At 40.4% G+C, this 16,135-nt stretch overlaps 1 protein-coding gene across 10 annotated transcripts in view; it reads right to left on the bottom strand.

Moving 5' to 3' along the window:
* MTDH (metadherin) overlaps positions 1-16,135 on the bottom strand; it is an 86,077-nt gene that overhangs the window by 11,694 nt on the left and 58,248 nt on the right. For all 10 annotated transcript variants that reach the window (NM_001363137.1, XM_011517369.4, NM_178812.4 and 7 more), the window contains 2 exons: positions 11,817-11,941; positions 4,798-4,905 (listed from right to left, as the gene is read on the bottom strand). In NM_001363137.1, coding sequence (NP_001350066.1) covers positions 4,798-4,905; positions 11,817-11,941 — 233 coding nt within the window. The remainder of the gene's footprint in view (positions 1-4,797; positions 4,906-11,816; positions 11,942-16,135) is intronic.

Raw genomic sequence — 16,135 nt, 5'->3', positions numbered from 1 at the left:
CCTGGGCAACAGAGGAAAACTCTGTCTCACAAAAAAAAAACAAAAAAAACAAAAACAAAAACAAAAAAAAACCCACAAAAAACACTTCACTTAACAACTTCAAGGAATAAAATGTTTATACATAAGTTAATTTTCTAGATAAATTAAGCTTACATAGTAGAAAGGGTATAGACAGAAAATTCCAATTTTGGCCATGCCACAGTCTAGCTACAAAATCTCAGGGATAGATTTGGCAGTGGCTCACGCCTGTAATCCCAGCACTTTGGGAGGCTGAGGCAGGCAGATCACCTGAGGTCAGGAGTTCGAGACCAGCCTGGCCAACATGGTGAAACGCTGTCTGTAATAAAAATACAAAAATTAGCTGGGTGTGGTGGCGCACGCCTGTAATCCCAGCTATTTGGGAGGCTGAGGCATGACAATTACTTGAACCTGGAAGGCGGAGGTTGCAGATCTCGCCACTGCACTCCAGCCTGGGCAACATGGTGAAACCCTATCTCTACTAAAAATACAAAAATTAGGCCGGGTGCTGTGGCTCATGCCTGTAATCCCAGCACTTTGGGAGGCTGAGGTGGGTGGATCACTTGAGGTCAGGAGTTCAAGACCAGTCTGGCCAACATGGTGAAACCCTGTTTCTACTAAAAATACAAAAATTATCTGGTAATGGTGGTACACATCTGTAATCCCAGCTACTTGGGAGGCTGATACATGATAGTTGCTTGAACCTGGGAGATGAAGGTTGCAGTGAGCCAAGATCGTGCCACTGCACTCCAGCCTGGGTGACAGAGTGAGACCTTGTCTCAAAAACAAACAAACAAACAAACAATCTCAGGGACAAGTCACTTAGTTTCCCTAAGCCTGTTTCCTCAACTGTAAAGTAAAATTTGCCCTAATAATTTCTAAAAACTCACATAAGCTTTAAGATTTCCATTTTTGGGGGGGGGGGGATAAAAATTTATTATACATAAAGAATATCACCACTAACAAACGCAGACAGGCTAGGACACCATGGTACAGGGTGGAGGATGGCTAGCTCTTTGGAAAGTGAAAGGTTTGGGTGGCGTGGGCCTCATGCCACTCTGATTAGTCAGGAGACAGGAGGGCACATGCCAAACACCACAGGACATCAGGGCAGCAAGATTTCCATTCTTAGACTTTCAAACTTTTATGAAGTTTCAGCAAAATAATTCTAGAGCACATTATATGCTTAGTAAATTATATGTAAAGTAAACATGAACTAGAATATATTAAATAGAAGGATTACTGTATTTTTCTTTGGCAAATGCATCCATATAAAATGGCCGTTCTTTTTAACAAATGGCTAAGATGATCTTAATGTTCTTCTGACACTGATGTTCTATTTTATGATAGTTATTCAGTATAGTAGTGGGTTTAGATAGTCAAAATTTTCTATATATTTAGGCTGAGCAGGTAGCTTTGGAAGTATGTGGGTGAAGTCTGTAATCTTACAAAGTTTTTCAAAGTTTTGCAATCTTACAAAGTCAGAAGACATCAATTTATTTCCATCCCAAGTTGAACTCAACAGTGAAAGACCCCATCAGCCACACACGAACACCAAAAAGGACTTTGGGTTTGGTGCGGTAGCTTGCATCTGTAATCCCAGCACTTTGGGAGCCAAGGCAGGAGGACTGTTTGAGCCCAGGAGTTTGGGATAGCCTGGGTAACATAGGGAAACTCTGTCTCTACAAAAAAATAAAAAAACTGTAGTCCTAGTTACTTGGGAGGCTGAAGCAGGAGGATCCCTTCAGCCCAGGAGGTTGAGGCTGCAGTGAGCTGTGATGGAGCCACTGCATTCCAGCCTGACCACAGAGTGGAATGTCTCAAAAAACAAACAAACAAAACAAAACAAAAAGAGAAAAAACAATATAATTTTTTTTTTTGAGACAGTCTCACTCTGTTGTCCAGGCTGGAGTGTAGTGGCACAATCTTGGCTCACTGCAACCTGCGATTCTCCTGCCTCAACTTCACAAGTAGCTGGGACTACAGGCGCCAGCTACCACGTGCGGCTAATTTTTGTATTTTCAGTAGAGACGGGGTTTCACCATGTTGGCCAGGATGGTCTCAAACTCCTGACCTTGTGATCCACCCGCCTCGGCCTCACAGGTGCTGGGATTACAGGCATGAGCCACCGCACCCGGCCTAACTTTTTTTTTCTTTCTTTTAAGATGGAGTTTCACTCTTGTTGCCCAGGCTGGAGTGCAATGGCATGATCTTGGCTCACCGCAACCTCCGCCTCCCGGGTTCAAGTGATTCTCCTACCTCAGCCTCCCGAGTAGCTGGGATTACAGGTGCATGCAACCATGCCCGGTTAATGCTGTATTTTTAGTAGAGACAGGGTTTCTCCATGTTGGTCAGGTTGGTCTCGAACTCCCGACCTCAGGTGATCCACCCGCCGTGGCCTCCCAAAGTGCTGGGATTATAGGCGTGAGCCACCGCGCCCAGCCATAACCTTTTATTAATAGGATATATGTGCTATGTACTCAGCATAGAACTTCATGGATATCAAATTCTCAAAACAACCTATGCAATTATGTAACTTGTGCAAGGTAAAAAAAAAAAATGACAGAACAAGATTCAGAATATAGATCTGACTCTAAACCTAGAATACTTATTCATTATATTTTTAAAAACACAGTGAACATTTTTAAAAGGATAATCAGAATGCCAAAGAAACAGTCACATGTTAATGACCTTTGCCAATACGTTAAACATTTCAGAATACATCTATCCTACAAAATTTATTTTAAAAGGAGCTCCACTAATCCACAATCCACTAAATCATTATTAGTAAATACTCAAAGTCAAAGAAATTCAAGAAAAACTTGGCTAAAATGGTTTTCAGGTAGTATTACTAACAAAGGATAGATGTAACATTTCTCATCTACCAGCTCCAGCTAACAAGAAAAGCATACCTATTATAGAGTGTTAGTTTGTTCATATCCACTGATCTTAGCTATGTTACAACCTTAATGCCCATTCATTTTGACTACTGAAAAAGCAAGCAAGTATTGATAATAAGCTTGTATCATTTATGAGGGTTTGTGCTTCCCACAATAAAAAATAACTGAATACATATTTCCTTAAAAAGCCATGTAGAAACTTCTTTCAAAAACAGTAAGTGGCTGGGCGTGGTGGCTCACACCTGTAATCCCAGCACTTTGGGAGGCTGAGGCAGGAAGATCACTCGAGGCCAGATCACTTGAGACCAGCCTGGCCAACATGGTGAAATCCCCTCTCTACTAAAAATGCAAAAATTAGCTGGGTGTGGTGGCTCATGCCTGTAATCCCAGCTACTTGGAAGGCTCAGGCAGGAGAATCACTTGAACCTGGGAGAGGCAGGTTACAGTGAGGTGAGACTATGCCACTGCACTCCAGCCGGGGTGACAGAGTGAGACTCTGTCTCAAAAATAAATAAATAAATAAGGCTGGGCGTGGTGGTTCACGCCTGTAATCCCAGCACTTTGGGAGGCTGAGTTGGGCCGCTCACTTGAGACCACATCACTTGAGACCAGCCTGGCTAACATGGCGAAAGCCTGTCTCTACTAAAATACAAAAATTAGCCAGGCGTGGTGGCACATGCCTGTAATCCTAGCTACTTGGGAAGCTGAGGCAGGAGAATCGCTTGAACCTGGGAGGCAGAGGCTGCAATGAGCTGAGATCGCACTACTGCACTCCAGCCTGGGCAACAGAACAAGACTCTGTCTCAAATAAAAAAAAAAAAGATAAACAAATAGAACAATAAGTAGGAAAAATTACTATGTGGGCTAACCCTAGAAATTGCGGTTCCCTGTCTCCTACATTTAAACAATTAATTACATAGTTATAGTAAGGAATACAAATATTTTAAGAAGTTGTAATGTAACAGTATTAGTGCTTTAAAAAAACCTATGCATGTTTCTAATAATCTGATACATCTGAAATTAAAATATCTTTTTTTTTTTTTTGAGACAGGTTCTTACTCTGTGACCCAGGCTGGAGTACAGTAGTGTGATTTTTGGCTCACTGCAAGTTCTGCCTCCCGGGCTCAAGTGATCCTCTCACCTCAGCTTCCCCAGTAGCTGGGGCTACAAGCGTATGCCACCGTGCCTAGCTAATTTTTGTAGAGACAGGGTTTTGCCATGTTGCCCAGGCTGGTCTCAAGCTCCTGGACTGAAGTGATCCTCCTGCCTTAGCCTTCCAATGTGCTGGGATTACAGGCATGAGCCATTGTGCCCAGCTTAAAATTTCAACTCTGACTTCATTTTTATTATAATTTACTTTTTTTCCCCCAGACAGGAGAGCAAAGAAAAAGAAAGAAAAGGAAATGTATGAGTGATGGAAAGAGAAAATGTCTGTTGGGTAGATGCCAAAAAAGCAGGAAAGGATACTTCTAAGTGAAATAACCAGCAAACTCAAAGTCAAGTGAAAGACTCCACTTGTTATACACATGGTTTTTCTATGTGTGCTAAATGTTACCTTCCAGTTACTCAAAAGGAATTTTTGTATGTGTAAAATACTGTATCTCTTTTCCCATTTCACCATTATATAATAAAAAAATGCATGAATAATTTGGAATTTTACTTATTTTTGAGTTTAGCAACACCTTTAACACGAATTTTTTGAGCAATAACATTTTTATTACAATATAATGTATTGAATATGTAAAACAGTCTATGATTTTTCAAATAAATGATGTCTCATACTGTCTTTTATCTCTATGTATTTTTAACATCTGTACATAATCTTTTCACATTTTAAGCCGGAGGCGCTTAATGAATGCTTGTTGTTCTGACATTTTACCTGTGCAGTAGAGTTATCTTCACCTTGCTTCTTCTTTTTCTTTTTTTTCTTTTTGGATTTCCCAGTTGGAAGAGCTCCCTCTCCCTTTTCTTTATCATCATCTGAGACCTTAGGTTAAAAGCAAAAATATTAAAGAGAACCAAATGGTTATGTGTCCATTATTTAGAAAATTATTATGAAATAATTTCATTCATTAGGTACAGTCTTCATTTCCCAAAATCTAAATAAAAACTAGTAATAAGTAATACAATGGATCAAGAACTACATATTTAAAAAATAACAAAATACATGGAACCTCATTCTCTCAGTGTGTCTACGTCATCCATCACTCACTACAACCTAAGTAGAGAGCTGTGTAAACTTTAGTGTTTTAAAAACTCACTGAGGCTGGGCACGGTGGTTCATGCCTGTAATCCCAGCACTTTGGGAGGCCGAGGCGGGCGGATCACGAGGTCAGGAGATCGAGACCATCCTGGCTAACATGGTGAAACCCCATCTCTACTAAAAATACAAAAAAATTAGCCGGGCGTGATGGCAGGCGCCTGTAGTCCCAGCTACTCGGGAGGCTAAAGCAGGAGAATGGCGTGAACCCAGGAGGCGGAGCTTGCAGTGAGCCGAAATCACTCCACTGCACTCCAGCCTGGGCAAAAGAGTGAGACTCCGTCTCAAAAATAAATAAATAAATAAAAATAAAAAATTAAAAACTCACTGAATAGGTAATTCTACTTTATTTTGAAGTTCAAATGTAGTGCAATTTGCGTTAAAATTTATTTGACCCTGTTAAGGAATGAAATAACAAGCTACACAATGGGGGAATATATTTGCAAGCCATATGGTTCCATCCATGGAACTAGTATCTGTACAATATAATACAAGGAACACTCAAGTTTAAAAAAAAATCCCCTTAGAAAATATGCAAAAGACATGAACAGACATTTCACCCAAGAACATGCACAGATGCCAAAGAAACCATGGGAAAAAGCTCAACTCCATTTGCTATTAGGGAAATGCATATTAAAACCACAATGAGTTATCACTGTACACCTATCAGAACTGCTAAAATAAAAAACAGTGACAACTGCAAATTTAGGTGAGGATACAGAAAAACCAGTTTCTTAGAATACTAAAATATGCAACTATCATAACACCCAGCGATTGTACATATGGGCATTTATCCTAGAGAAATGAAAGCTTATGTTTAGACAGAGACTTCTGAAAACCTACACATTTAGCAGCTTTATTCATAATAGTCCCAAACTGGAAAGGACACAAATGTCCTTCAATAGGTAAATGGTTAAAGAAACTGAGGTACATCCAGACCATGGAATATCACTCAGCAGTAAAAAGGTACAACTACTGACACATACAACAACCTGGATGAATCTCCAGAGAATTATGTGGAGTGAAAAAAAACAAAAAACAAAACATACCAAGGCCAGGAGCAGTGGCTGAAGCCTGCAATCCCAGCACTTTGGAGGCCAAGGCGGGTGGATCCCCTAAGGTCAGGAGTTCAAGAGCAGCCTGACCACTATGGTGAAACCCCATCTCTACTAAAAATAAAAAAATTAGCTGGGCCTGGTGGCATGCGCCTGTAATCCCAGCTACTCAGGAGGCTGAGATGGGAGAACTGCTTGAACCTGGGAGGTGGAGGTTGCAGTGAGCCGAGATCATGCCACTGCACTCCAGCCTGGGTAACAGAGCAAGACTCCATCTCAATCAAATGAACAAACAAGAACCATAGCAAAAGGTTATATATATTATAATTCCATTAATAAAACATTCTTGAAACGATAAATGTTCTGTATCTTGATTGCATCAATGCAAACACGCCAGCTGTGAAAAGGTAGTTCCCCCTTATTTGCAGTTTTGCTTTCTGCAGTTTCAGTTACCTGCGGTCAACCTCAGTCTGATATTAAAGTACTTTGAAAGACACAGAAAGTGAGAGAGACCACATTCACATAACTTTTATTACAGTAAATTTTATAACTTTTATGATTACTGTTGTTAATCCTTTACTAATTTACAAATTAAACTTTATCAGAGGTTATGTATAGGAAAAAGCATAGTATACCTAGGGTTTGACACTATCTGTGGTTTCAGTCATCCACTGGGAGTCTTGGAATGTATCCCGTGTATAAGTGGAGGTGGGGAGCGGTGGGGATGGCTACTGTGCTACTGTACAGTATTATGGTTTTTTAACATGTTACCACTGGGGAAAACTGGGTAAAAGGGGTACAGGGGATCACTCTGTTTCATTCCTGCCTTGTTTTGTTTGTTTTGTTTTTTTCAAGACAGGGTCTCGCTCTGTTGCTCAGGCTGGAGTACAGTGGTGCAATCAAGGCTCACTGCACAGCCTTGACCTCCTGATCCTCTTGCCTTAGCCACCTGAGGAGCTGGGACTACAGGCTGATTTTTCTTTTTTTTTTTTTTTTAATTAGAGATAGGGTCTTGCTATGTTGTACAGACTAGTCTCAAACACCATGGGCTCAAGTGATCCTCCTACCTTAGTCTCCCAAAGTGCTGGGATTACAGGCGTGAGCCACCGTGCCTGGCCTATATTATTTCTTATAACTGCATTTGAATCTACAATTATCTCAAAATAAAAGGTTTAATTTAAAAAACTGAATTTGAGAGGTCATGTCATTGAAAATAGCATTCTGCAGGACAAAAATATACCTATCAAGTTAGCACTGTTATGTTAGTATTCATAATGATGCAGAGGCCATGCCAATCTTCTCTGTATCTTATCTATCTATCTATTTATTTTTTTGAGATGGAGTCTTGCTCTGTTGCCAAGGCTGGAGTGCAATGGTGCCATCTTGGCTCACTGCAACCTCCACCTCCCAGGTTCAAGCAATTCCCCTGCCTCAGTCTCCCAAGTAGCTAGGATTATAGGTGTGCACCACCATGCCCGGCTAATTTTTCTATTTTCAGTAGAGATGGGGTTTCACCTTGTTGGTCAGGCTGGTCTCAAACTCCTGACCTCAGGTGATCCACTTGCCTCGGCCTCCCAAAGTGCTGGGATTACAGGCGTGAACCACCGCGCCCGGCCTTATCTATTTTTTTTTTTTTTTTTTTTTTTTTTTGAGATAGTCTCACTCTGTTGCCCAGGCTGGAGTGAAGTGCCTCACTGCAACCTCTGCCTCCCAGTTCAAGCGAGTCTTGTGCCTCAGCCTCCCAAGTAGCTGGGATTACAGGCGCACACTGCCACATCCAGCTAAATTTTTTTTTTTTTGTATTTTTAGTAGAGACGGGGTTCACCATGTTGGCCAGGCTGGTCTCAAACTCCCGACCTCGGGTGATCCGCCCACCTCGGCCTCCCAAAGTACTGGGATTACAAATGTGAGCCATCACGCCTGGCCTCAATTTTAGTGTATGTGCTGCTGAAGTAAGCACTGTAGTTTAACTTTCTATGGAAAAATGCTTTTTGTTTATTCTCACAAATGACAACCTAGATTCCTAGACTATCTTTACAGGAAGAGATGATTCTAGTAACCGCTATTTCTCTGCTCAGCACTATAGTCATTATAATGATTTTGGTGGTCTCACGAACTACCAGACAGTTTACAGAAATTACAAGCAGATGGAAAAACAAAACAAAATCTGGCACAAACTTAGCTAAGAGATTTTCAGTCTAGGCTGGTTGGCTACAAGTTGTGGAGAAACATCCCTAGAAGTTTTCACCACAAGCTGTTTCAAGGTCTTGTAATGATTAAAATGCCATATGAATAGATACGTGCCATGAATGATACTCAGGTCACAAGGACTTTCTTCAGTCAGCTTATCACTTCATTATAATCCAATCATACAAGAAATGTAGTTTCCCACGGCAAAATACTATTTTTGTTAATGGGAAGATGCTGAAATCAACTCTACAACTTTTAACTCCCATGAAAGAGTTGAGATTTTGATAAATGTATTTTAAATCTTTAAATAAAAAGGACATTACTGATAAATTTCAAATTCCTTTATACCGCTTCCCAATCCCATTTTCACAGTACCTTCCTAATGGTAACCAAAATTGTGAACAACTTCTGTGTCTATCCAATCAATTTTTCTATAAATTTATTTGTATCCACATATAAAAAGTTACATAAATGACATATTCTATCTTTTTATAACTTGCTCATCATTCAGCATGTTGAGTTTCCATTCATAATGCTAACAATGTAGCTTTAGTTCATTTTTAACTTCTAATATGCCATTGTATAAACATATCACATCTTTCCATTCCCCAACTGATGAACATTTTGATGACAGCTCACTTTTGCTTAGAAATGTAAAAGGTAATCTCTGAATATATTCAGAAAAAGAATTCCTATGATGTAGGATAAAGTCTTTATTCCATTCATGGGTTCTATTGTGTTAAATGTCCAACAAACATGTGAATGATCACTATGTATTAAGGTATTATATATTACGATATTGTACTTCTAAGAAGCCTTTTTGTAGGTCCAATCTAAAACCCCTTTCCCCACTGTTGACTTTCACATTGCCTGTTAACTGTCCTCCTCTACATTTATTTACCCCTCCTTCTACCATTAGTATTATATCTGGTGGTTTTTTTTTTTTTTTTGAGATGGAGTCTCGCTATGTTGTCCAGGCTGGAGTGCAGTGGCACAACCTTGGCTCACTGTAACCTCTGCCTCCCGGGTTCAAGCAATTCTTTGCCTCAGTCAGCCTCATGAGTAGATGGGATTACAGGTGCCCGCCACCATGCCCAGCTAATGTTTGTATTTTCAGCAGAGACGGGGTTTCACCATCTTGGCCCGGCTGGTCTTGAACTCCTGACCTTGTGATCTACCCACCTTGGCCTCGCAAAGTGGGAGCCACTGTGCCCGGCCTATATCCTGTTTTAAAGACCAATCCTGGCTGGGGGCAGTGGCTCACGCCTGTAATCCCAGCACTCTGGGGGGCCAAGGTGGGCAGATCACTTGAGGTCAGGAGTTTGAGACCAGCCTGGCTAACATGGCAAAAACTCGTCTGTACTAAAAACACAAAAATTAGCTGGGCATGGTGATGCATGCCTGTAATCCCAGCTACTCAGGAGGCTGAGGAGGGAGAATCACTTGAACCTGGGAGGTGGAGGTTGCAGAGAGCCGAGATCATGCCACTGCACTCCAGCCTGGGAGACGGGGAAACTCCATCTCAAAAAAAAAAAAAAAAAAAAAAAAAAAAAAAAAAAAAAGGCCTGGCATGGTGGCTCATGCCTGTAATCCCAGCACTTTGGGAGGCCGAGGTGGGTGGATCACTTGAGCTCAGGAGTTTGAGACCAGCCTGGCTAACATGGCAAAAACCCGTCTCTACTAAAAATACAAAAATTAGCTGGGCATGGTGATGCGTGCCTGTAATCCCAGCTACTCAGGAGGCTGAGGAGGGAGAATCACTTGAACCTGGGAGGGGGAGGTTGCAGAGAGCTGAGATCGTGCCACTGCACTCCAGTCTGGGAGACAGGGCGAAACTCCATCTCAAAAAAAAAAAAAAAAAAAAAAAAAAAAAAAAAAAGGCCTGGCATGGTGGCTCATGCCTGTAATCCCAGCACTTTGGGAGGCTGAGGCAGGTGGATCACTTGAGGTCAGGAGTTCGAAACCAGCCTGACCAACATGGTGAAACCAACATGGTAAAAGTACAAAAATTAGCCGGGCATGGTGGCAGGTGCCTGTAATCCCAGCTACTGGGAGGCTGAGGCACGAGAATTGCTTGAACTCAGGAGGCAGAGATTGCAGTGAGCTGAGATTGCATCACTGAACTCCAGCCTGAGTGACAGAGCAAAACTCCATCTCAAAAAGAAAAAGAAAAAAAAAAAAGACCAATCCATCCACTTGTTAAAGGCTTCTTGATCCTCTTCTGGCACCTTACTTTATCAGTCAAATCTTCCCTCTCATTTAACTTTTTCTTTTTTTTTTTCTTTTTTAAGAGATGGGGTCTTGCTATGTTCAAACAATCCTCCTGCCTCAGCCCCCTGAATAGCTGGGACTACCAGGTGTATGCCACTGTGCCCAGCCTATGTTTAACTTTTTAGTTTATTCCGGATCCTTTCCCTTTGTATTGACAGACATGCTAAAACAGGGGTTGGCAAATTACAAATACAGCCCAGCATTAGTTCCTACAAATAAAATTCATTTCCATATCATCTATGGCTACTTGCTATATAATTGACTAGCTGTATCAGAATGTATGGCTTTTTAATAAAGACTGTGCAGGCCAGACACAGTGGCTTACACATGTAATCCCAGCACTTTGAGAGGCTGAGGCAGGAGGGTCACTTGAGGCCAGGAGTTTGAGGACACCATCTCAAAAAAAAAAAAAAAAAAAAAAAAGGCCAGGCATGGTGGCTTACGCCTGTAATCCCAGCACTTTGGGGGGCTGAGGTGAGCGGATCACCTGAGGTCTGGAGTTGGAGACCAGCTTTGCCAACATGGTGAAATCCCATCTCTACTAAATACACAAAAATTAGCCGGGCATAGTGTCGGGCTAGTAATCCCAGCTACTCAGGAGTCTGAGGTAGGAAAACTGCTTGAACACAGGAGGTAGAGGTTGCAGTGAGCTGAGATCATGCCACTGCACTCCAGCCTGGGCAGCACAACAAGAATCTGTCTCCGAAAAAAAAAAAAAAAGAAAAAAAGACTGCTGACCCTATACCAAAATCTCCCTATCATTAAAATACAACACCCCAACCCTAGCAAAACCATTCCTGATACCACGTGTTGCTATTATCCACTATCTCTCCTCCAGTCCTATCAAAACTTGGGTTTGCTGTTTCTGATGCTATTATTGTCTCCCTGAGGCTCTCAATTGGTGTCAGCCTCTGTGACCCAGAATTCTCCTTCAGTTGCTTTATTTTATTTTTATAAATAGAGATGGGGTCTCGCTATGTTGCCCAGGCTGGCCTTGAACTCCTGGGCTCAAGCAATCCTCCCACAGTACCTCCCAAAGTGCTGGAATCATAGGCGTGAGCCACTGTGCCCAGCCTGTCTCTTTCATTAACAAATAAACACCCAGGAATCTCTTATACTCACCTTTTGATCATCAGGAATTGGTTCCTGGGACTTTAGAAGTGAAGCTCTTTCTTCGTCTACCCAATTGCCCCACTCTTCTGCTGGTGCATTCCAATCAGAGTTGGGATCAGCAGAAGACAGACCATCTAAAATTTAACAGTGTGAATTAGGCGTCTATCATTTTTGCCATAAATTAAAAGGCAAAAACTAAAAATTCCTTATGTTCAACTAAGCTGTAATTTTAAGTTATTGTTCTGTCTCCCAAGCACATTTTAAGAGCCAGAAAAAAAAATAACATGAAGGTAACAATCTTTATTCAATTTCTGCTAAGCATATCATATGGTTAAATGGAATTTCTAAGAAATTCCAGAAAATTTATTAGCCATTTGATTCCACTCTCTGTGCTTCCTTTGTTATCAATCTCCTGAATTTCTTTTCTCTATCCATTTTTAACTTGGTCTAGGACCTGGTTGTTTTCTCCCCTGATTATTATAACATTTTTGTAATTGATTTATTGTCTAGGGTTTGGAATTAATTCTTAACAGTAGTACCAAAGTTACAATCCCTACCTGTCATTTTATACTACACCTCTCCTATCCTTATGAGCTTTTCAAAATTAGTTTCTTCAAATTCACCAAGTCATGACAATATTCAACCTCTTATTTTTCTCCCCCTTTTTAAATACTTAACCTGTACTTTCTTATATTTTTCAGATCATTCAATGTGCTTTTTATCCAATCATTTCAAAAACATTTGAATAACTTTCAGGGCTTCAATCATCATTTATTATCAAAAATAAATTTTATTCTACACTTCCAGATCCCTTTATTTCACTATAGGATGCACTGAATTTTTAACTCCTTGAGGAAGCTATCAATGACTTATTCTAAAAGGAGAAACCAGTCTTTGCCTTTAACCAGATTAAATAAGTAGCTCTCAAAGTTAATTCTTCCCTTCTCTCCCTGCACATCATATACTCCTATATATGTTCCTGTAAATCTACTTATAGTCAGGTTTCATTTACAATGGTTTAAGATGACAAAGGTTAGGCTTTATTTCCAAATGGTTAACAAGTTGTCCCAACAATGCTTAAATGAAAAATCCAATCATTTCCCACTAATACCTAATGCTACTCTTATCAAACACTCAATTCTTTCTTTATTTTTTTCCCCAAGACGGAGTCTTGCTCTGTCGCCCAAGCTGGAGTGCAGTGGCATGATCTCAGCTAACTGGAACCTCTGCCTCCCAGGTTCAAGTGATTCTCCTGCCTCAGCCTCCCGAGTAGCTGGGATTACAGGCATGCGCCACCACACCTGGCTAATTTTTGTATTCTTAGTAGAGACAGGGTTTCACCATGTTGGCCAGGCTGGTCTCGAACTCTTGATCTCGTGATCTGCCTGACTCAGCCTCCCAAAGTGCTGGGATTATAGGCGTGAGGCACCACGCCCAGCAATGCTCAATTCTCTTTTTTTTTTGAGATGGAGTCTCACTCTGTCACCCAGGCTAGAGTGCAGTGGCACGATCTCGGCTCACTGCAACCTCCGCCTCCCGGGTTCAAGCGATTCTCCTGCCTCAGCCTCCCAAGTAGCTGGGATTACAGGCGTGCACCACCACACCCGGCTAATTTTTGTATTTTTAGTAGAAACAGGGTTTCACCATGTTGGTCAGGCTGGTCTCGAACTCCTGACCTCTTGATCCACCTGCCTCAGCCTCCCAAAGTGTTGGGATTACAGGCGTGAGCCACTGTGCCCGGCCTTACTCAATTCTTTTATATGCACTTCAGTCTGTTTCTGCAATTTCTATTCTATTCCACTGATCTATTCCTGGGACAGTGCTATACATAACTCTGCAATACATTTTTATATCTAGAAGGACAAATTTGTTTGCATTACTCTTATTTAGTACTCCTATTTACTTTCTGCTAGTCTTATTTTTCCAGGTGAACTCTATTATTGTTTTTGTTTAACAGGAATATATAATACATTCTTATGAAAGTTTTAAAATCTAGGTTTTGGAAGAATATATAATAATCTGGGAAAACGCTCACAGAAAAAAAATCATAGACAAAATTGTCTACACAGTATGATCTCAAATTTATGAGGAAGAGACAGAAAAAAATAAAACATTATATGTATATAATATATATATATTTTCTTAGTTTAAGAGACAGGGTCTTATTCTGTCACCCAGGCTGGACTGCAGTGGTATAATCATAGTTCACTGCAGCCTTAACCTCCTGGGGCTCAAGTGATCCTCCTGCCTCAGCCTCCTGAGCAGCTGGGACCACAGCCATGTGCCACCATGCCTGGCTAATTTTTAAACTTTTTGTAGAGAAGGGGATTCACTATATTGCCCAGGTTGGAATAATAAATATATTTTAATAGTGAAATTACATCTATCCAATCCTTATTAAGCACTTACTATGTGCTAGAACTTGAGCTAGGTAGGTACTAGAGATAGAAAAACAAGTAAAATAGAATCCTTCTGCACGTGCAGCTTGTAGTCTGTCTATTCAGGGGTGAAGATAGGTAAGCTTAACAAACTATTAAATACAGAGTGACAGATTCTGCCATGGGGGCTGTGGAAACAAAGAAGAGCTAAGCTAGTGGAGGACAGGGAGAGACAACATAAGAATTTATAGCCTAGTGGAGGAAAAACATGGAACAGGTGATTACAAGTGTGAAATGTGTTATAAAAAAGGAAGTTCCTTCCTGTATTTCTAAATTCACCACCATGAGCAAGTATCTGGAGTCAGTATTACATAGTAGCACAGAGGCGAAGAGCATGGGTCTTCATGTCAAACAAATATACATTTGAATATTGTTCTACCACTTAATAACAAGATGATTTTGGTCAAGTTTCTTAATGGGCTCTATTATCAACTTCATAGGATTGCTGAGAGGATTATATGAGATACATGTAAAGCAATTCATGGCAATGCAGTAAGCGCTCAATAAATGGTAGCTACTGTTTTTATTATCACTGATGATATTAAAACCAGTTTCTAATCTATAAGGCATGTATAGTTAAAAATTTATTTCTCACAATTCTGATGAACCTCTCATTAAGATATACTTCATATGTAAGATATACTTCAATTCAGTCTAGTAGATGTCTGGAACCAACTACTCATCTTATACCAACCATTCATTAATAATACTTTAGGAGGTTCACATACCAAGCTATCAGTGGCTTTGCTTAAATCTCACAGATAAGAAACCCAGATTTTGAAAATTGCCGTCCATAAGCCATGTCTCTAAGACTTCTTGCCAGAAAAGAAACTATTAAGCAGAAGAAAGTTTAGGCAATTGAGTGGGCAATATACCAACATGTCACCCATTTTCTTAATACATGTGGTAGGAGGTGGAGGTGAAAAATAAAAATCGAGTAAAATGCTTAGTAAAAGTATTTTTTATGACAGGGTCTCGCTCTATTGCCCAGGCTGGAGTGCAGTGGCAAGATCATGGCACACTGTAGCCTAGACTTCTCAGGCTCAAGTGATCTTCCACTTCAGACTCCTGAGTAGCTGGGACTACAGGCATGCGAACCACGCCCAGCTAATTTTTTTTTGTAGAGATGGGGTCTCACTATGCTGCCTAGGCTGGTCTTGAACGCGTGGGCTCAAGAAATCCTTGCACCTTGGCTTCCCAAAGTGCTGGGATTACAAGTGTGAGCCATGGCACCGGCCTGGGTAACTAATTCTTAAGATTCATAGGCCTAATGTACCAAAAAACTTCTTAGACATAGTTCCCTTAAAAATGATTCACAGTATAGTTTGCTTCAATTATAATTTCTTATCGCTAAAGTTTTCCATTAGTCTGCCAATGTCTTTTCAAAGAGCCATACTGGTTTTCTTTTCAAAAGGGTAAGGAATTTGTCTCTTCATTTAATTTGCTTATGGAATAACATTTTAGGTTTAAGTATCTCTTCGCTAGTCTTTATTTGGTTGTCAGCTGTTTCTTGTCAGAACTTAATTCTTTTCAAAGAGCCATACTGGTTTTCTTTTCAAAAGGGTAAAGAATTTGTCTCTCCATTTAATTCACTTATGGAATAATGTTTTAGGTTTAAGCATCTCATTGCTGGTCTTTATTTGGTTGTCAGCTGTTTCTTGTCAGAACTTAATTCAATGTAAACTTTAATAACTTTTTAATAAAAGAAAACAATTATGTTAGACATTCTCCAGTGTTAACAACATTGGGTTAGTTAACCACATTGGTTAGACTAATTTTGCCACTAGAAGGATACCAACAGCAGTACTTACTGCATATTTACTATATGTGAGGCAGTGTTCTAAGAGCTTTATATGTATTAACTCATTTAATCTTCTCAGCCGTACTGTT

Source organism: Homo sapiens, chromosome 8, assembly GCF_000001405.40.
Source record: "Homo sapiens chromosome 8, GRCh38.p14 Primary Assembly".
Taxonomy (NCBI): domain Eukaryota; kingdom Metazoa; phylum Chordata; class Mammalia; order Primates; family Hominidae; genus Homo; species Homo sapiens.
Note: the sequence above shows the minus strand (reverse complement) of the source record. Positions and strands in the feature narration are given on the sequence as shown.